The 23,170-nt window shown below is 35.6% G+C and overlaps 2 protein-coding genes across 22 annotated transcripts in view, besides 1 other annotated feature; one reads left to right on the top strand and one right to left on the bottom strand.

Moving 5' to 3' along the window:
* The window catches only part of DNAJC24 (DnaJ heat shock protein family (Hsp40) member C24), a 62,976-nt gene extending 49,398 nt beyond the window's left edge, over positions 1-13,578 (bottom strand). The window contains exons 1-2 of the mRNA NM_181706.5: positions 13,526-13,578; positions 12,579-12,722 (exon numbers count right to left, since the gene is read on the bottom strand). Of these exons, the coding sequence (NP_859057.4) occupies positions 12,579-12,689 (111 nt within the window). The 5' untranslated portion in view covers positions 12,690-12,722; positions 13,526-13,578. The remainder of the gene's footprint in view (positions 1-12,578; positions 12,723-13,525) is intronic.
* Positions 13,286-13,765: an enhancer, noted in NCBI's record as "active region_4556". NCBI's record gives its function as "activates an Ori minimal core promoter by ATAC-STARR-seq in GM12878 lymphoblastoid cells {active_cell/tissue: GM12878}" and the evidence as "EXISTENCE:reporter gene assay evidence [ECO:0000049][PMID:35858748]".
* DCDC1 (doublecortin domain containing 1) overlaps positions 13,699-23,170 on the top strand; it is a 506,137-nt gene continuing 496,665 nt past the window's right edge. For all 21 annotated transcript variants that reach the window (NR_170625.1, XR_002957144.2, XR_002957145.2 and 18 more), the window contains exon 1: positions 13,699-13,741. The gene's annotated coding sequence lies outside the window, so the exon portion shown is untranslated. The remainder of the gene's footprint in view (positions 13,742-23,170) is intronic.

Below are 23,170 nucleotides of genomic sequence, written 5' to 3'. Positions count from 1 at the left end.
GGTCTCTGCCCCTAGTTCCTGGCAAACAGCTCCTAAAACCCTTGGAGTCTCTAGAGTGAAGAGTATCTTTTGTATGCTAATGGAATGACTAGTGGCTGGGGGCCCCTAGGCAGCTTCAGGATGGTGGCTGGTCACCAGAAAGACTAAAGCATGATTGGAGGGTTGGGACTTTCAGCCCCAGCCCTCAACCTCCAGGAAGTGGAGAGGGGTTGATGGTTGAGCAGATCACCAGCAGCCACTGATTTAATCAAGTATGCCTACCTAATAAAGCCCTCATTAAAACGGATGGAGTACAGTGACCTCCAGGTGGGTTAACAAAGAACACACTGTGCCAGAAGGGCAGTGCACTCCAAATCCACAGCTTCTGCACTGGGGACCCCTACAGACCTCACCCTATGGATCTCTTCATTTATATTCTTCAAAATATCCTTTGTAATGAGTATGTAAATACAAGTAAATTTTCCGAGTTCTGTAAGCTGCTTCAGCAAATCAATTGAGAACAAAGAAGGAAACATGGGAACCCAGATTTACAGCCAGTCAGTCAGAGGCACATATCACAACCTGGGGCTTGCATCTGACACCTAACATGGAGGGGAGTCTTATGGTAATGAATCCTTAACCCTTATGGATCTGACACTGACTCCAGGTAAACAGTGTCAGAACTGAATTACAGGACACCCAATTGGTGTCCACTGGAGAACTGCTTGGCATGTGGGGAGAAAACCATGCACAATCCTACAGTCAGAAGTACTGTATTGAGTGGTGTGTGAGAGTAGGGAAAACACTTTGGCTTTTTCCCATCTCAAAACAACTGTATACAACAATATGTACATATAATTGCATTACATATACAATAATAAACAGATAAAACCACACATCCAAAATATAATTTTCCCATTTTTAAATGTTTTGATGGACAATAATAGTTAAATTAGTATAATGTCATTATTCTGTATTTTTATATGGCCCTGCATGATTCTTTAAATGCATCTTGTACATAATTTCTACTGATGATGATAAATTATGATAAGGCATCACATGCAAGACACTGGCTAAATGCTTTATATTCATTCTTTCATTTAGTCTTTATGAAACCCTTGAGGTAGGTATTATTGTGTTGATTTTTGCAGATAAGGAAACTGAGTCTAAGAGAGGTAAGTCATTCTTCCTAGGTCACACATATCATAAATGGTACAAGTGAGGCCCAAAGCCATGACTTTTAATTACTGTGCTATATATACAGCCTCCCTATAAAACCACATTTTAGAATTTATATACTGTACATAATATTTATTACATCAGATACCAGTACTTAAAATAAACTCTGCCATATCCACAGCACCTGGAAACAGTTCCTAGAAAAACAGTATATACTAACCCTAACAAATGCTGAGTGAATGGATGAATGAATTACTAAAGACACCCTCACATTGTTTCAATCCTCATAAACAGATTCGAATATATACATTTAACTAATTTGAAAAGTATAATTCTCAAAAAAATATTCTGGATTACCTTAGGGATTGTAAGAATTATATTTTGTATTTTTAAATGTTTTGAGAGCCAGGCGTAGTAGCTCACACCTGTAATCCCAGCACTTTGGGAGGCAGAGGCAGGCGGATCATCTGAGGTCAGGAGTTCGAGACCAGCCTGGCGAACATGGTGAAACCCCGTCTCTACTAAAAAATACAAAACTTAGCCAGGCATGGTGGCATGTGCCTGTAATCTCAGCTACTGGGGTTAGCTGAAGCAGGAGAATTGCTTGAACTGGGAAGGCGGAGGTTGCAATGAGCTGAGATAACATCCCTGTACTCCAGCTCGGGTGACAGAGCAAGACTCCATCTCAAAAAAAAAAAAAAAAATTTTTTTTTGAGATAACCAAAAAGTAATGAATAGCTAGTTTAAGTTGCTTCAGGGAAAAAGATATGTCTTTTCCAGACACTTATCCTACACACCACACCAATAACAATGCTCAATTTACAGTCAATTTCAAAATCTTAACAGAATGAGAAGAGACTTTACAGTCCATTACTGAGTTTAAGAATCTATTTGATCTTTAATTGTAGATAACATGGACACAACAACATTAATTGTATTTGTGACACAGAAAATAATTCAAGCACAGATATGTAATACAAATTATTATAATTATTAAGAAGAGTGAATTTGAAAATAAGGGAAAAATCAGTCAAAACACAAATAACCTTAACCAGTAAAAGGGGATTCGTGAGCTAAAAATTTATGATTTACTTGAAGTCAAATTTTAACGATGCTTCATGTCTCAAGAGGTATGATTTTATGTATACCTTACAAGTAATAGTTACTACTTTTAATCATATAAAACCCATATAACACCCGAATGCACTAATCAGACTTCTTATAAAACATACCCAAATGCACTAATCAGACTTCTTACAAAACATTTTGGTTGAAAGTATACTATGTAATGTGCTATAATAAGATTTACTCTTTGGGAGTGGGTGAAGGGATAAATTAATCTCTCTTTAAAAATCTTTACTAATATGGTTCATTAAAGGCCAAATAAAACATCAAGATGTTTTTAGAGCCTAAAATAATGGCTCAAGAAATCTATAGCAACAGAAAGCAGATCCATGGTTGCCCAGGGAAGAATGAGAAGCATAAAGGAACTTTCTGAGATGAAAATGTTCTATATCTTGATATGGTGTTGATTATACACATACATGTAGTCAAGACTCACTGAAATGTACTAAAATAGGTACACTTTATTGCATATAAATTATACCTCAATAAAGTTTATTTTTTAAATGCCTAAAAGAAATACATCCTAATAAGAAACATAATAAAGTTCGAGTTATTTTATAAAAATAAAAGAAAAAGTAAAACAACTATCACCCTAGTTTCTAGAACTCCAAAAATTTAACAAAAGTGGGATATTAATCCCTTCAGAAAGGACTGACAAAAATGTTTTCCTGTCTTTGTATTTTGGCGTAACTGAAAATAACATACGCCAAATCATAAGGAAATTCTAAATGTGAATATATTTTAAAACAAAACTTTCACTTTTCCCATGTTAATGTTTGCTTAATAATACTGGTTGAAAATGATTTTTGGTCTGTAAGTTCGTTGCATGTTACTCGATTTTGAATATTTATTATGTGTCTTTGTTCTACTTTTCTGTGCTCATCTTCCACATCCTCAATCTCTTTCTTTAGTTTTTGACATTCTATGATTCTTTTAGCTAGATTCTTTCAGTTTCTGAAACGCTATAATTCTTTTAAGCTAGACTATGTGATAAATATAATAATGCCCTAAATCATCTCTTCATAGATTTCCTATCAGCTAGGTAAGTCAGATGATAATTAGAAAGTTATTTTAAGATTTCTTTCAGCCGGGCACAGTGGCTCATGCCCATAATCCCAGCATTTTGGGAGGCTGAGGCGGGTGGATCACCTGAGGTCAGGAGGTCAAGACCAGCTTGGCTAACATGGTGAAACCCTGTCTCTACTAAAAATACAAAAAAAGAAAAAAAAATTAGCTGAGTGTGGTAGCGGGCGCCTGTAATCCCAGCTACTTGGGAGGCTGAGGGAGGAGAATCGCTTGAACCTGGGAAGTGGAGGTTGCAGTGAGACTAGATCGCACCACTGCACTCCAGCCTGGACGACAGGGTGAGACTCTGTCTCAAAAGAAAAAAAAAAAGATTTATTTCTTTCACTGTCTGTAAAAGGAAACTGTGGAGCATTTATACTCAGATTTTCTAACTTAAAAGCATTATCAACGATGACATTTTAAACAAGCCATAAAGGGGATATTTTTCATCTTAAAAACATGGCAAATGAGAGACAGATTACCACTGCAGTCTCAATTAATTGTTCTGTTTAAATTGCATCCATTATGAGTCAACAAACCAATCTTGGGTTGCCAAAAGTTACTTACAGTATGTTAAATTAAGAAAAAAATTCTCAGACTTGGTGGGTCAGCGAGAGCAGCGGTCCCCAACCTTTTTGGCACCAGGGACCAGTTTTGTGGAAAACAATTTTTCCATGGATGGGGGTGTAGGGAGTATGGTTTCAGAATGAAACTGTTCCACCTCAGTTCATCAGGCATTAATTAGATTCTCATAAGGAATGTGCGACCTACATCCCTCACATGCACAGTTCACAATAGGTTTGTGCTCCTATGAGAACCCAGTGCCACAGTGGATCTGACAGGATGCAGAGCTCAGGTGGTAACACTCGCACACTGGCTCCGCACCACCTGCTGCATGGCCTGGTTCCTAACTGGCCATGGACCAGTACTGGTTTGCAGCGCGGGGACTGGGGACCCCTGAGCTAGAGGACAAATGAAAATATAATAGAGAAAAAAACAAAAACAAAAGAACAAATACCAGAGCTGGCTTTAGAGAGTAACATAGTATAAGCATCTCATTTTTACAGATGAAGAAACTCAGATCCATGCAGTTTATGTATGTTAAGACACACCTTAGTTGTCCTAGCACAATTTTACTGGAAATGGCTAAGATAAAAGAAAATGAACTTCTTAAGATATTTTTACATTCCTCAAGAATTGGGGAAGTAAATGTCATTAACTAATAATCAGGCATGATAAGAACTCAGGTTTCCACAACACCACACTGCCACCTTTCACACTTTTCACCAAGTTTCTAGTGTAATTTCCTTCCCTCCCTCTAGAGCTCACGCTTAACTTTTCACTAGTCTGTACCTTTAACATAAATAATACCTTTTCTCTAAAGATATAATCTATTATTGCTGCATTTATGCGATAGGAATATTAAAAAAAAAACCACTGGAAAGGTAACTGACTGCCTGCTTTTTTTTAATACAGTTTTCAAAGTATATGTAAAGTGTGTCATAATTTCTTGCTGCTAGTCAGTATGTTACTTAATCTCTGAGCCTTGGTTTACCCATCTATATATTAGAAATAATAATGATATTGCACTTTGCAGAGTTGAATAATTCACATGAAGTGATTACAAGAGTATCTGATACGCAGTGCTACATGTTAGCTAAAGTTATTCATTTAAAATGCTATTCCTACCACTTTTATCACGAAAAAGAATTGTTTATGATAGAGTCTCCCTATGACATAACTATTTATTGTTACGTATCATGCATTCTATATATTAATAATACCTAGATGACAGCTAAATAGTTAACTATGGTAACAGAAATTATAATGTGAACTACAAGACAAGTTATATCTTCCAGATTTTTACTTACAACACTCCTAGATTTTTTTTCACAAAATTTCTCTTAATGCCTAAGTACCTTTCCTGTAATCAAGATCTCTTTTGCTTTGTAATGTACTCAAAAGACTTATTTAAAGAATTGTTCTTCACTCCCTTCTTTTCCAACGTGGTAATTTTCTTCTGACTATAGTACAGGTCCCCTTTCTACTTTCTTTTTCAAGACATTAAAGTGGATGACATAACTAGCTTAAAGCTAATCTATATATAACCATTTCTAATCAAATGAGACCCTCTGAATGCCCACGTAAGTATTAAGTGGTATTTTACACCCTTCCAACATTAACAACAAGACCATCCTGCACACTCCTGACTCAAATTACATGGATTTTCTTCAAGATTATAGAACATATTATAACAGAAGCATATAATTTTCCAACACAATAACTCTTTTCCAACTGAGAAGTATCCTGTAATATTATCAGGATCAGTGGGAAAAGACCCCCAGTTCTCAATTTGACAAAGCTTTTGAGATGAAGCTTTCTCTTAAGTAAATAGCAATTTTCACATGCATAACTGCAAAAAATACAGGAATAACATAACTAATCATTCTGGACCCTAGACCATTTCAAAGCAATGGATTACTATTCAAATTGTTTTTAATAGAAAACTAAAAAAAATTTTAAAAATCAATTCACAATTGATTTACTAATAAGTAAAGTCCCTATTAATAAAACAGTGCTGAAAAATGTTGGTTCAATTACTTTTATTTTTTATATAGTAAACTATTACACGGCAGGCCAATATGTATGTCTATAATATGTAATATGTATGGTATGTGAATGTCTTTAAAACTAATTCTGCACTTTACGTAAATATGTATCTTTAAAGTATTCTAAAATATCTCAATTAGTAAGAATTTTTTCAGAATCAGGACCCTGAGTAAGCATTACATTTACAAAAACTGAAATAAGGAAACAGTATTTACTAAATCAATATGTATTGTAAACTCAGCAGCCTACAATTTAGCAATATTTTATCTAAACACCTAATTGTGCAGGAGGTGTTAAATTCAAAGTCTTCTGAACTTAGAAAATTACATGTAATACGTGTGCCTTTTTACAAAATTAGATACAAAATGCTGTTAGTCAAATGTAATTTTATTCTCCAACTGTTTTGTGACATTGTTGAAAAACACAGACTAACAAAATGTGATAGTTCTAATTGGGAAACAAGAATACGAACTTTAAAAGCCTGTTTTTGTTTTTAAAAATCTGATAAACATTATAAATAATATGCTTTTCCCTTATAATTTTCTCCTTAAATCTATTAGAAAGTCTAAACTTATGCAAAAAGAGTAAGAAAACTAAATTTCACTTCATAAGCCATAAAAAATCTAGATCCTTTCAAAATTACAAGACAGTAGTAATTATGTCTGACCTTCCATAATACTTAATTAACTGTGCATAAATGAGGTGTTCTATGGAAATCCAGAAAAAAATAAAAATTATGCCTTTAAACAACAGTAAACCCTTTTAGATGGCAATTATGAGAAGTGTGATATAATGCGAGAGAATCTAGAGTCAGAGGATACATGATCAAGCCTAGATCATAACCCTTACTAATTCTGTGTTTCTGACAAACCACTTAACTGTAAGTAAGCCTTCATTTTCTCAAGTACAAACATAGGGGTAACAAAGCCTATCTTACAGAAGATAAAACCAGATGTGAAAGCATTTGTAAACTGCTAAGTACAATACACGTGCTACTAATTATACACTTACTACTCTATACTTCCTAGCCTTCTTAAACAAAATTAACTGAACATAACTCATGGCCATAATTATGATTATAAATTATTGCGCTGAACTGTAATATAAGGACCACTGATACATCAACCAAGAAAAAAGAAGGGCAAAATGCTATGAGATGGTGTATTAATCCATTTTCACACTGCAGATAAAGATATACCCGGGACTGAGCAATTTATAAAGAAAAACAGGTTTAATGGTTCAAAGTTCCACACGGCTGGGGAGGCCTCGCAATCATGGCAGAAGGCGAAAAGCATGTCTTACATGGCAGCAGGCAAGAGAGAATAAGAGCCAAGCGAAAGGGGAAACCCCTTATAAAATCATCAAATCTTGTGAGACTTATTCACTACCATGAGGAGAACAATATGGGGGAACCCCCTCCTCGCCACCCCATGATTCAATTATCTCCCACTGGGTCCCTCCCACAACACATGGGAACTATGAGAGCTACAATTCAAGATGAGATTTAGGTGGGGACACAGCCAAATTATATCAGATGTATTGTCTCTTGTTGCCTGCTGCCAGGTTGTTAGCTGAGACTTCTTGCTCCCATAGTATACATAGCTATCTACAAGGAGCCTTCCCAGAATAATGCTAGTTGAAATTCTCTCTCCTGTAATTTGCTGCTTCACTTCATCTCTCACCCTTCTCAACAGATAACTTTGTCTTCTACTTCACAGAGAATAAAAAGAAGGTACCAAATGAGAGCTCATCAACTTTCCGCTACCAAACCTACAAATAAACCGGCTATTGCAACTATCTTTTCTTCCTTCCTTCCTTCCTGTAACAATGAAGACAGGTCCCTCCTATCTCTTACCTAAAGCTAATCCTTCTACCTATGATTCAGATCCTATTCCTCTCTGCTTTTGTTAATTATTCAAACTCTCCTATAACTTCAATCTCAAGCTTTTCCGTGGCCACTTCCCATACAGTGTAAACATGTTCAAGTCTCTCTCATCTTCTAAAAGAAAAGCAGAAGAAAAAATTTCAACCTTTTATTACAGTCCACCTACCCTCATTCTCCTTATCTAACAGCTATACCTCCCCTGTCTTAGAGAAATATCATGAAATGTACTAAAGACATGGCAGGGAGCTGGGGAGGCACGATTACAACTAAGATCATTTTGAAACAGTGAGTGAGAATCAGGTGAGGTAGTGGATGGGCAGAGTGCAAGTGCAAAGGCATATGGCCACAGAAGGGTATCTGGCCTCTAAAGGGAAAAGAAAATAGTTCAGGGCTTCCACTAAATGGCAAATTAATTAGAGAGAGGGTCTTGCTCTGTCGCCCAGGCTGGCGTGCAGTGACACAATCATATCTCACTGTAGCCTTGAACTCCTGGGCTCAAGCAATCCTCCTGCTTCAGCCTCACAAGTAGCTAAGATTACAAGTGTGAACCACAGCAACTGGCTCACACTTTCATCCCTCTGAAAATTCCTTGATAGTAACAGAAAAGGAATAATAATTTTTTAAAAAAAGGCATAAATGTGTAAGAACAAACAGGAGAGAAGAGAAAAAAACAGGCAAAAGAACAGGAGAGAAAAGACAGGCAAAAGACACCAAAATTTGAAGAGATGGAAAATTCATCAATAAATGATAACAAATTCAGTGTACCTGCAAAAACTGAAACCTAAGTCTAAAGTGAAAGAGACAAAGAAGTGAGTTCATTCACACAGAGGCAGGAGAAATTGAGGAACGGAAGGCATTAAGTACCTTTGAGAGTGGAGTTGAGGGGCAAAACTAAACAAGAGAAAGACTGGTTAAGACTAAAAAAATGGTTAGCCCTCCACCTCTCTTCCTCACTATAAAGCCAGAAATCACAATTCATTTTATGGGGCTAGCATAACTATGATACTAAATTTAGACATAAACATTACGAGAAAAGAAAATTACAGACAAATATACAGCATGAAATTAAACATAAAAATCCATGACAAAATAATAGCAACTAGAATCCCTCAATGTATAAATATAATAATGCTTCATGATAAGTGGTTTGTTTATCCTAGGGATGAGAAGTGGGTTTAACTTAAGAAAAATCTACGTGATTCACCACATTAACAAATTAAATGAGAAAAATCAATAAATGCAAAAATTCAATAAATGCAAAAAAAAAAAGGATCTAACAAATTTAAATACCTACTTACCATAAAAACTCTTAGCAAAGTATTAATTGGAAGAATTTCCCCAAGCTGATAAAGGGCATCTTTAAAAACATACACCTAACAGCATACTTACTGGTAAAACATTGAAGGTTTTCCTCTTAAAATCAGGAACAAGGCAAGGATACCTGCTCTTAACACTTCAACTGAACATTTTAATAGAAGCAACCAGCTAGTGCCTTAACGTAAGAAAAGGAAATACAAGACATACAGATTGGTAAGACAGAATTAAAACTCTCGTTATCTGCAAATGACATAATTGTGTTGGCAGAAAATTCTAAGAAATTGACAAAAATAGCTATGAAAATTAAAAAGCAAATTTACCTAGATTGTAGGATAAGAGACCAGTATATAAAAATAAGCTATAATTTTATATACTATCAATCAACAAGTGAAAAATGAATTATTTTTTAAAATACCATTTATAATGGAACCAAAAACCAAATACCTAGAAATAAATTCAAGAAAAGATATGTGAGACCTCTACACTGAAAATTATAAAACACTGACGAGAGAAATGAAAGATGGCTTAAGTAAGGAGAAGGATACATGTTCATAGATTCAAAGACTCAATATTATTAAGATGCCATTCTACCAAAGTGGATACCTATTATTGCAATCCCAGTTGAAAACTCAAGCAAGATTTTTTTGGTAGACATTTACAAGCTGATTCTAAAATTTCTGTGGAAATATAAGCAAACTAGAATAACCGAAATAAACTGGAAAAGAAGGATAATATTAGAGAACTAACTTTACAATGACTTTGAGACTGATTATAAATCTACAGTAATCAAGATGGAGGTATTAGTAAAAGGATAAACAACATATAAAACAGAATAGAGTCCAGTAATAGACTCATATTGCCAAGACAGTCCAATGGAGAAAAAAATTTTCAACAAATGATGCTGGCACAACTGAATATACTGAGGAAAAATAAAAACATGACCTCACATCTCATGCTATACACAGAAATCATAAGTCTAAAGGTAAAAGCAAATGACCACTTCTAGAAGAAAACATCGAAGAATATTCTCATAACCTTAGAGAAGATGGAAAGTATTAACTATAAAAACACACATTTGATAAATTATATTTTGTCAAAACAAAAAACTCTGCATCAAAAGACACCATTAAGAAAATGACCTGGTAAATCACAGACTAGGAGAAAATATATACAACATATATACAGAATCAAGAATATATTTAATTTAAAAAAAAACACTTCATAAAAGAAAATTATACAAATGGCCAATTATCACATTAAAAAGGGCTCAACATCATTAGTCATCAGATAAATTTTAAAAAAGCAACAACCCCACAATGGGGTATGACCAGACACTGTAGAGTAGTCCAGTGATTCTCATGGGATGTGGCAATTTTGACATGCAGGCGGCATTTTTGGTTGTTACTGGCATCTAGGATCCTGCCACACATCTTACAAAGCACAGGACAGCCGAAATAACAAAGAATTATCCTGCCCAAAATGTCAATGGTGGCAAAATTGCAAAAACTCCAATAGCCAAAATGAAAGAGACCAATAACATCAAATATTGGCAAAGCTGTAGAGCAACCAGAATTCTCTGATACATTGTTAGCGCATATGTGAAATGATTTACCTACTTTGCTGTTTGACAGATACTACATATTATGTGCAGACTGCTTCTCAGTGGCCAATTAAAGGCCAGCATGGCCTACAAGAACCAGAATGATCCAGTCTACTTTTCCAGGTTCATTTCCCAATTAACTGAGTGAGGTACAAGGATGGTTTAATATTAGGATATTTTTCAATAAAGTCTACTTGATTCTGCTGACAGAAACTTTAAAACTTCTGGGGCAAAAGGTACCTTAAGGTCATTTAGTCCAACATACTACCTAAAGTAAGAATATTAGTACAATCCTGATGATGAAACAGTTAGTCTCTCACAATGAACATTAATAGTTTTGGCAAAACAACACTGATGTAACTGGTATAAACTAAAGAGACAACAAATTCTATATAAATAATGGTTCTTTACTCTTTATAAACTGAGTTAACCGGACGTCGGTATAGAATTACAGACATTGGCTTAAGAAGCATCACAATACAGATTGAAAAAATGAATATAAAAATTCAGAGATATATTTACAAATACTACAATTCATTTAAAAAAAAAAGAGTCGGCCGGGTGCAGTGGCTCATGCCTGTAATACCAGGACTTTGGGAGGCTGAGGCGGGAGGATCACTTGAGGTCAGGTGTTCGAGACCAGCCTGACCAATATGATGAAACCCTGTCTCTACTAAAAATATAAAAATTAGCCAGGCGTGGTGGCATGCGCCTTAATCCCAGCTACTTGGGAGGCTGAGACAGGAGAATCCTTTGAAAGTGGGAGGCGGAGGTTGCAGTGTGCCAAGATCGCACCATTGCACCCTAGCCTGGGCAACAAGAGTAAAACTCCATCTCAAAAAAAAAAAAAAAAAAAAAAAAAAGTCAACTGATAATTAGTGTATAAATGGTCTAAATCAGCATTACCCAATAGAAATATAATGTAAGTATAAATGCCGGCTACATATGCAATGTTAAAAAAGTAAAATGCAAGAGAAACAAACTTTGATATGTGCAAATACATGCATGCATATTATGTATATAAAACACAAAATAGCCAGTAATCCAAAATATCATCATTTCAATATATAATCCACATAAAAACTGTTTGATTATTAACTACAAAGAATTATCAGACAGGGAGTTTAACTGTGATAAGTTTATTAAAGGATATAGTAGAAACAGTGGACAGTATGTATAAAAAGATGAGAAAGAGATAGAAACTTTAAAAAAGGAGCCAGTAGAAATGCTAGATATGAAAATTAGGTAAGAGATCAAGAATTCTTTTAAGAAGTTTATCAGCAGATGGACACAGTAGAGGAAAAATAAAACCAGTGAACTTTAATCAACATAATCAACATAAAAATTGTTAAATTATTTTAATTCCTTTTAAATACTGTCTTTAAAATCCAGTGTATATTTTACCCTTACAGTCCATCTCAAGTCAGGCTAGCCACACTTCAAGTAATCAACAGCCACATGTGGCTAGTAGCTACTGTTGTTTATTATGTAACAACACTTCTAAATATTTTACATGGATTATTTCATTTAATCCTCCCTTGGCACATATAAGAAAAAGTAACTTGTCCAAATTCTCACAGATAAAGATGGACTCAAGATTCTAACTCAAGCAGCCTGACTCAGATCTCCTGCTCCTAACCATGCTTTTCCACCTCAAATCAAGTTTTTCTGCAATATTACTGAAATGTTCAATTAAATCAAATTAATACCTGGATTCCTGCCACTGGTATCCTATTTTCTGGAAACCTAAATTTGTGGTTTCATATAAAAATTGATTTTTTTCCCCTCATGATTTAAAATCTGAAAGAAAAGACTTACCATTAATATGAGTTTTTGATATTTTTGTTTTAGGTCTGATATATTTGCAGATGGGTCTGCTCCCAGGATGCTGTACCAATCCTTTTTTGGCATCTGCTCAACCGCCATCATCCATGGAACCAGAAGTGGGCCTTCTCAGATTAGCTGAATAGAAATATTAATGACAATTCATCACAGTTTGCCATGTATCTAAGAAAAAATTAAGTACTGCCCTTGTAAATTCTTTAGTATTTAGTCGAGTAAATCATGATTATAATGCAAACCTGAGGAAGCACAGATTTTCATTTAAAATGCCCCAAGAATTCCAGGTATAAGTGTACCGACAAGTATGGAAAACGTGTTAGGTATTTCACGATATATATTTATACTTTAATTAATGAACAGCATTAAAAAAAAGAATTTTATAATGAACCAGGTGGTGTATGAACCTCTAAGAAGGTATTTCTGCTAGTCTTATGATAAAACTGGCACACAAGTAAGCACCCACTAAACACGCTGGAGGAGCTTAATGAATATTTACAAAATGAACGAATAAAAAAAAAGCAAAACAGAACATCAAAGAATTAAAATAAATTTGGGGGCATTCCTTCTGAAAGTTTCTCGTTTGCTTTTCCTCCAGATTGTCTGGAGAGCATGATATGGGAAATAACGTCAGCACCAGCTGGTAGAGAACAAGAGTCCCCTGTTATTGGAGAGGCGCTGAGACCTCGCAAAGACAGAGTGAAACTCTCTACGCGAGGATGCCCCAGTCTTCCACGCTCCAGAAGAGAGACCCTACCAGGAGCCCCAGAAATCAGGCAACCTCTTCCCACAGCTATATACACTTAACGAAACAGCCGGGGCCTCCTCAAGCTCGGGACTTGGGAATCTTCTCCATTCACAGTCGGCTTTACCCACCCAGCCATTGGCGGGCACCCTCTCCGCGCTTTATACGACATCAGACCTACCTAACTTCACATAGGCGCTGCTACCCACTCCTCGCCTGCTGTCGGCCAGAACTCCGGACCGGCTTCTTCTTCCGCCGGAAGTCACTGTTCCGACGTGTTCGCGTTTCTGGCCGAGCTGATGTGGCCGTGGCACAGCTCAGAAGCGACGCTCCGCCCACCCCGACGCGGTCTCTATGGTAACCGGTCACCGCTTCTATGGAGTGGCGTTTACTACCAGTAAGTTCCCAAACTGTGAAGAAAGGCGCCTTTGGCTTCGCTCTAAGTCTCTCTTTTCCGGGCCCCGCGACTGTCGCTTCTCTCCTCCTCCTCAGCGAGCACCCCCTCGCCATCCCAGGCTTTCCCCGCCTTTTTCAAAGCTTCCTCCGTTTACCGTACCCTGAGCTACTCTCAATCTTTTCGGTTGGTGCTTGAACTCTGGGGTGAGAGAGGGGTGCGGGGGCAAGGATGTGAGAAGGATGAGGAGACCTGATGCCACTCTCGTCCCTACAGTTCCTTTACAATGTTCTAATTCGAAAATTAAAAGAACTAAAACCTATGCCAGGTAGGGCTAGATGTGCGGGGGATGGGGTCGGTTTAATTTTTTCTGCAGAAGATATTCGACGTAATTATTAATATTTCTTTTAGACCTTAGCAACCAACTTACAACATAAAAACGTTCCAAAATTCTTTCACATTTGCTATTTCACTTCGCTTTCATTTCAACCCAGTGAGACAAGTAAGGCAGGTGCCATTATTCCCACTTTATAGATGAGGAAAGAAATCAAGGATCAAGGCCAAACAGCTAGTTGGGTAGGGGCAGAACAAGGACTCAGCAAGTCTACACATTCCCAGGGCAGCTATGCTATCTTTCAAGCTTACAGAAAAAAGCAGAATGAACTGTTCTTCTTCGAAGCAGTTAGGGGGCACTGCATATGGGCACTGTTGGGGTTTGTTATTGTTGCTGGTGGTGGTGGTGGTGGTGGTGGTGGTGTTTTTCTCACCTTTCTTTCTTCTCCCTTTCTTGATTCCTGTGTTTCCTTTTATTACTTCTTTGTGCTGCTTACTTTACATTAACACCTCTTCCTAGCATTGTACCTGGAGATGAAAACTACATCTTATTTTTGGCCAGCATGACATAAATTTCACTTGGAGATGTTAAAATGGTTTTGTTGTTACTGCTTTGATTTTGCTTTCCTTCTTTTTTAAACTTCTACCAATCTGAGTTTGAGAAGCAGTCAAGATAAACTTAAGCAGAATAAATAAAATAATCTAATATGATCAGTTATTTAATGATGTTATGAACTATAAAGAATAACTGAATGAAACAAGCAAGTTTAAAAATCTAAAGATGAAAGCATAGATTAGGTTCTCCACAGGGTTTTGTCATGTTTAAAGGCAGATACAAAGAGCATCTGGTTTTAGTCCTGGCTGCATCATACTTTCTTGTGTGGCCTCATGAAAATACCTAAAGCAATGGAATTAAGTAGTGTGGTGAATGCTTTTCTAAACAGTACTGTCAGAATGATGCCACCTTGAACATCTCTAGCCCTCAAACTCCCTTCTGTCCACAGCTTGGTTCTTCCTTGTGTAGGTAGATATGCTCCGGTACTCCAGGTTTTTTGTTTTTTACAGCAAAAGCATTTTATTTTGATTTACTATTTATTAGGTTATTGTGTTACCTTATTTATTTATTGGGGTTTGGAAAGTAAGAAATAGTTTTTTTCCCCAGCAATACCAAATATTTTGTCATTTCATCTCTACATACTTTAGTTTGCATCCCTAAAATGTACCAACTTTTTCTTTTATCTCCATAATGTCATTATTGGACTGTCACATAATATCTAGACCTTACTTACATTTCCACGGTTAATTGAAAATGTCTTTTTCTGGTTGGTTTGCTTGACTCAGAATCAGACAAAATGTACACTTTCCATTTAGCTGTTCTGTCTCTTAAATATCTTTTAAATTATAGCAGTCCCATTTCTTCACTAGAACCTTGTTTTTTTCTTTACTTGCCATTGGCTTACTGAATGAGAACAGTTGTCTTACACTCTGCTTATACCAAAATAAACTTCTTAAAACAATTTTTACATAAATTTCTGATCATTAAGCTTCCTTCATTTTTCATTTTATAGAGCAGTACTTTCCAATAGAAATATAATGTAAGCCGTAAGTGCAAGCTACAAAATTAATTAATCTAAAAATTATTAAGGCGATACTTTACATTCTTTTCTCCTACTAAGTCTTCAAAAGCTGGTATGTATTGTGCCCGAACACACCTCAATTTGAACTAGCACATTTCAAATGCTCAGTAGCCACATGTGACTAGTGGCTACTGTATCCAGCAGGGCAGGTCTAGAGAATAAAGTCCTAACTCCTTAACCTAGCATTCAAGTTACCTCTTCAATATGATCCTTACTTTTCCAACCTCCCCTATTATCTCCATACATTAAACATTTAAACAATTGGATCTTTTCATGGTACTGAAATCAACCCAACAGTCCCATAGACAGGGTTTTGTTTGTTTGTTTAGTTTTGTTTATTGGGGTTTTTTAAATTAATAAACATAGAAATGGACACTTCTTTTCTGAAAGCTTGAAACTTGCATTTGTTTTATCTTTTTGTTTGCTTGTTTGAGACAGAGTCTTGCCCTGGTGTCCAGTCTGGAGTGCAGTGGCATGATCTCAGCTCACTGCAGCCTCTACCTCCCAGGCTCAAGTCATCTGCCCACCTCAGATTCCCAAGTAGTTGGGACCACAGGTGCATGCCACTATGCCTGGCTAATGTTTGTATTTTTTTTTGTAGAGATGGAGTTTCACCATGTTGGCCAGGCTGGTCTGGAACTCTTGAGCTCAAGCAATCTGCCTGCCTCAGCCTCCCAAAGTGCTGAGATTACAGGCATGCGCCACTGCGCCCAGCCACATTTTGTTGATCTTTATCTCAGTTCCTTCCTCAAGAAAGGATGCCCAGACCTCTCAACAAGTATCAAAGAGCTGAAACTCACCAGATTACTGCATCTAGACAGTGATATGCCAGACCCCTCATTCTTCGTTATTGTTTCCTTACCCTTCCTTAGTTCCTGTTTTCTCATACGTAGTTAACATTTCTTCCCTGTTATATAAACCCCTAATTTTAGTCAGTGAGGAAGGTGAATTTGACACTGATGTCCCATCTCCTTGGCTGCAGCATCTGATTAAAGCCTTCTTCTTTGACAATAATCATTGTCTCAGTGATTGACTTTTTGGGTGGTAAGCAGCAAGACATAGATGGAACTCCTGGTGTTTTGGTAACAGCATTTCATCAATAATTGTGTTCAAATGCTTCTCCTTACTTATAACACCCTAATTCTTTTCTTCCTCCTATCAGAGTAATCCCTGCTTTAAGGCCTATCTCTTCCATCAAGCCTTTTATGATGGCCTGGTCCTTAGAACTTACTGCCGCCCCTCAACTTTCATAGCAAGTCCTTTGTATATCACAGTATATTGTTTTCCTTAGAATATATTCTGATTCCCCAGTTGGGTTGCAAGCTTTCTGAGAGCAAGAACACCTCTCCAGAGAAACTAAGAACCAGCTATCTTGCCTCATTCTCTGGAGTTCTAATGATACATAGCTCTAATAGTTTTGTTTCTCAGTATCTTATATTTAAAAGGCAATTTATCCATTTTATGTGAAACTTACATAGTGGAAATATAAACTATGTTAGTATCATGGTTAAAAGCATGAACTCTAGAGTCAGAACATATGTGTTTAGTCCAGGCTTTTCCTCTTACGGCTATGTGAACTTAATTCATCTCTTTGCTTTGGTTTCTTCCTCTGTAATATGGGAGTAATAATAGTATTTCCCTCATAGATTTGTTGTGGGAATTAAATGAGATAGTTGTGCCTGAAAGTAATAAGTATTCAGTAAAGGTTAGCTATTGTTGTTATTATTAATTAATAATATTTGTTGCACATTTGATATATTAGAATGTTGGACATTCATAACAGTATTTTAGGAATTTCCAAAGAGAGCAAATGACAGCAAGAAACAATTGAATTGGAAAAATAAAATCAAACCCAAATATTTGTTGAACTGTACATTTGGTTGGACTTCAGAATAAATTAAAAGGATAGGCAAAACTTTAGTTTGCGTCATCAGCATCTAACATAACCAAGGTAGGCGTATATTAAATATTTGATTCCCAGATGATTGATCAAGTGCTATAGATGTAGCTAGATACATCAGGAGTTTAAGATCCTTTGTCATGATGATAGGAAAAAATGACATTGTTATTAAATCTATCACTTTGGTACACGCCTGCCCGTAAACTAACGTCTACCAGACATTCACAAATTCTTAATTTGATGTCATACTAGTCAATTGTGCTTCTCATTGATGGATAATAATGGAAATCTATATCTATATTATATAGATGTATACATATAGTGTACTTCTGCTAATTATTTCCTATTCAGGATTATATTTACTTGGCTCTTTTGGTAGTTCCATCACCAACTATTCCTTCATTTCCTTGATTTTTATTTCTGAATTTTAGGATTTTTATACCAGTGAACTAAGCTGTATTTAAGTACCATGGGATATGATGGTTATGTTCCAAAATTGAATGATTGTCTCTAGAGCAACTTATAATCTACTGGGAAGATAGAAAAACCACCAAAAACTAGCTAGTTATTTGATTTTTAAAAGTCAATGATATATATACAGCCTTCATTCACCTATTGACTCAATCGACAAATATTTGTTGAGTGTCTCTTATGTACCCCACACTCCGTTAGTTACAAGAGACACAAAACAAAGTTGACTGTAGTCCTGTCAAAAGCTTAGTTTATCTGGGTAAACAGACATTTAAAAAGGAACTGAAATAACTGTAGGAAGTACTATGCCAGAGGAAATACCAGGTGCTGTGACATTAATTAATAACTTGCAGGTATACTAATACGTAGAATAGATTACTTGAATGATTAAAATCCTTGAATCAAGATGAAGCTAATCCAGGAAGATGTATGAAATGTTAAGTTTTAAATAGTGTTTTGAAGGAAGGGAGAGGTGAATGACTAGGATGAAAGAAACTTCCTTTCTTCTTTTTTTTTTTTTTGACAGATTAACATAAAGCTTTAGATAGTATTGAGAATCAGCTCTAATGAATAATCCTAGCTCATCTTTTAGAAATGGTTTTCATTTTTCCCTTTGTTGGTTGTCTTAACTCAGTCTATTATCTGCTTTGCCATTTTGACAATAGTCATCATCGATGAACTTTCGTTGAGTTTGTGCAAGGCAGTACACTAAGCAGGAGAGAAAGAGGAAGAGGTAAATATTTTTTGCGGGCACCGCACTTGTTGCTGTGTTTTTCTTGTTTTTTAGCATTATGTGTCAGTTCTTTCTAACTTTTTTCAGACCTCTTATAGGTCTTTATCTTATCTGAGATTTATGTTCCTGTTTTCCTATCTTCACATCTAATGTTTTAATCATTCCATGAGCCTATTAAAAATATTGTCTGTAATCCATCTTCTATTTATCTTTAATAGTCATACAAATACCAACTTGTTTTTTCCCCCATTCACTTGTTTGCCCTTTTCTCTTTTTTCTTATCACCACTCTGGTTTTTCTATGCACTTTCCAACTACACTGAAATTTGTGGTGATCTCTTCCAGTCATGTGGGGATATGCATTTATATACAGAAGCTCCTTGACATGTGATGGGATTATCTCTGATAAGCCCATTTTAAGTTGAAAATATTATTAGTGCCTTAATACATCTAGCCTACTGCACATCATAGCTTAACATAGCCTACTTTAATTGTGCTCAGAACACTTTCTTTAGCCTACAGTTGGGCAAAATCATGTAGCACACACTACACCATAGAGTATTGGTTGTTTACCCTCAGAGAGTGCATGGTTCACTGGCAGCTGCTGCTCCCTGCCACTGCCCAGCATCATGAGAAATTATTTTACTAACTATCACTAGCCTGGGAAGAGATCAAAATTCAAAGTATGGCTTCTTCTGAATATGTATTCAGTAGAATACACACCATGTAAAGTCAAAAAATTGTTAATCAAACCATCCTAAGTCAGGTACTGGCTGTACTGTTTTTTAAAGCATGCTACTTTCTCTATTTTAGTTTTTTAATCCTGAATTTTTTTCGAAAAGTTTATTTTTGTCATGTAATTGACTTACAGAAGAAAGGTTAATCTGAATGATCAAGGGGTGTTAATTTGTGGGTTAAAATGTGTTAAACAGTTGATTTGAAGTCTGTTTAAGTCAATTAGAGAGTATAATGAAGATGTTTCCAGGGTGTTATGGAACCTTTTGAAGTTAAGTGTGGAATTCACTAGTGTATATTAACTATGGCACCTGGCTAAACATGTTATTGCATTCAGGTTTTTTAATTTGTGTGAATTCTAATAGGTATGAATGGGTCAACATACATAGAAGTTTGACTTTATTAATGAGCCTCATCTTTTGTAATAGGAAATTAAATTCATGACTTAATTCATCATTAGCAATGGAAAACATAATTAGTATCATTGTTATCTTTGTTACTTGCATATTTTTCTAAAATATAAGGCAATAACTCTTGTTTTAAAATAAGATTAGTGTCATTATTATAGGTTTTTAAATGCTAAGTATCTCATATGGAAGAGTAGAATTCATAAAGACATATAAAATGTTGTGTGCTCACTTAAAGAAATGATTTATTTCCTCCCCTAAAATTACATGAAGTAAAATTATGAGACATGTTAGTGTTGGTTAATATTTTCAAATATTTCAAAATAGTTAATATATAATTACACACAGTTTAATATTACTATGCTCAAATTCAGTCATTGAATATAATTTTTGTATGATGGTAGCATTATTTAAGATGATTAAGCATTACAACTTCAACAGTTTAAATCCACAAGAGATATGAAAGTAAAAATCAGATTTTAAAATACATTCTTCATTTAGCATCAGGGTTACTATAGTCTGTTTTTTATTACTTATGTCAGTTTACTAGTAATAAACACATTTAGCATTTCAGCTTCTTGCAACCTTTCAGTTTAATTAGTTAGAGACTGAGAAAAACAGGTCTTGTATGCTAAAGGGATTTCTGCAATGATGGATTAAATGCCAAAATAATGAAACCACACATCTTAAAAAATATACTGAAGAATAGATGTTTTCTGATGAATTTCCACAAAATATCATATTTTTAAAATACTTTCAGCAATTCATAGTATTACTTTTTAATCTACTGTAGAAGCACCATGACTCTAGTCTTTTGTAGCTCATTAGCAATTTCTTTAATGAGTTTTTTGGTGTGATAGATAGTTAAAGTAACAGACAAATGACAGATTGTTTGCCTTTAATGATTTCCCTGTTTCAAGCCCATTACAAAGCAATTAGAAATCTGACAGCATTTTCACTCTGCATTACTGATCGTCTGAAGTGATGAGGAATGAGAGGTGGTGAATATTAATTGTATATTTTCATATGATTATCATAAATTACTACCTTGTCTGATGTGCTGCAGGTGAAGCGGGAGCATTAGAGAAAGGCAGTCAGATACATTAATTTCAAACACTGTATGTTTTTTTAAAAAATCTTTGTAGTATAAATCCTAGTCTGCAATGTTAGTCTCTATGAATATTCCTCTATCACTATTAAATTAACTGTTTTTAGTTTCTATCTATATTTGGGACAACTGAAGTTTTCTTATTTGAATACAAGAAAAGGAAAGGTTATTCCATAGTACAGTGTACCTGTATCTATTTAAATTTAGAATCTTAAAAATCTGTGAATTTTGTTGATTTATATATTACATATATATACATAATATTCAGAAATTTCAGTATAGAGAAAGATACTCTTAGAAATAGGTCATAGTTTAGCGTTAGGCTAAAGTCAGGTAATCCTGCAAAAGAAGAGGTAGGAAAGTGTAGCCAAATGTAGAATGAGATATTTCTAGGCCCTCTGTAACAGTTCTTTTGATCTTAGCCCACAATATATCCTGTTTTTCTAGTTTCTTGCCTCAGGTAGATGTAGCTAAGACTGTCATCAGGATGCAAGTGCTGTTGTTACTTAGTTCCTGCGTTGGATTTGGAGCAAATGCTGGTCCAGAAACTAGATACAGTAAGAATTAGCAAGCCTAGAGCATTTTAAATGATTAGGGGCTGGGTGCGCTGGCTCACGCCTGTAATCCCAGCACTTTGGGAGGCTGAGGTGGGTGGATCACTCGAGGTCAGGAGTTTGAGACCAGCCTGGCCAACATGGTGAAACCACATCTCTACTAAAAATACAAAAATTAGCCGGGTGTGGTGGTGCATGCCTGTAGTGCCAGCTACTCAGAGGCTGAGGCAGGAGAATGGCTTGAACCTGGGAGGCAGAGGTTGCAGTGAGTTGAGATCACACCACTGCACTCCAGCCTGGGCAACAGGGCAAGACTCTTGTCTTAAAAAAAAAGATGAGAAATATATTTGGTTCAATTTTACTAACGTAAATTAGTTTATATTTTACTGTCTCTCTAAAGATAGGTATTGGTAATCGACATGTAATGAGTTGAGTTGAATTTCTTTGTGCTAATGAGGCTGTGTCTTCATTCAGTCCTTCCTTTTGGACCTTTTTGCTCTGGTTTTATCTGTGGAATTCCATCCCTTGCAGATGCATGCCATCTTGGATCCATCTTTATGGATCTTTATTTATGAAGAAGGTAATATGATTATAAATCAATAAAATGGATTTTTTACATGCTACTTTAAAACCGTTCTTTTTATTTTATATTCAATTGTATGTGTTTGCATTTTATATATACTTAAAGTAAAAGTTAGGCCTTCACAGATGAACTTTTTGGGTTTTGGAAAGTTGAGAACCATCTGAAATTCATTACATATTTACTGAGGGAAAAGTTAGGTATCATAATGAAAAAGCAAATAATCAGTAAAAGGGATTCAGTCTCCAGCATTTAGTAGCCCAATTTAATAATCTTGGTACTGGCTAAGATTTCCAAATGTATTAATTACTCTCCATATCTGATGACCTCCCAAGATTTTGCTTCACAGGGACCTCCTTTATCTATAGAGTAGGTCCAACTAACATAAAACTTACGGAATCAGAATGATGATTCCAAATCCCCTCAACTCTTTTCTGATGGTATTCCTTACCTTAGTGTTAGTCTAGACTTTTAAGTCAATCCTTTCTACAGCTCCACCAATTATCCTTTGCTTCTCTTTCCACTTCTAACATACCACTAATCAACACAGTTACAGTAGTTCTCCCTTATCAGTGGTTTCAGTTAACCATGGTTACCTGCAGTTTGAAAATAGGTAAGTATTGTAAAATGAGATATTTTGAGACAGAGAACAGAGTCACATAACTTTATTACAGTATATTCTTATAATTGTTCTATTTTATTATTAGTTATTTGCTGTTAATCTCTTACTGTGGCTAATTTATAAGTTAAACTTTATCATATGTGTATATGATAGGAAAAAACATAGTATATATAGGGTTTGATACTATACTGTATACACTTTTAGGCATCCACTGGGGGTTCTTGGATCATATCCCTTGCAGATAAGCAGAGGAAGAAATACTGTACTTGACTTTTGGCCAAAGTCTCCACATCTTTCTTTAGAGGAGTTGGTTTGGAAAACTTACATATTTTTTCCTATGACAGAGAACAGCT

This window comes from Homo sapiens, chromosome 11 (assembly GCF_000001405.40).
Source record: "Homo sapiens chromosome 11, GRCh38.p14 Primary Assembly".
NCBI classification, from domain to species: domain Eukaryota; kingdom Metazoa; phylum Chordata; class Mammalia; order Primates; family Hominidae; genus Homo; species Homo sapiens.
Note: the sequence above shows the minus strand (reverse complement) of the source record. Positions and strands in the feature narration are given on the sequence as shown.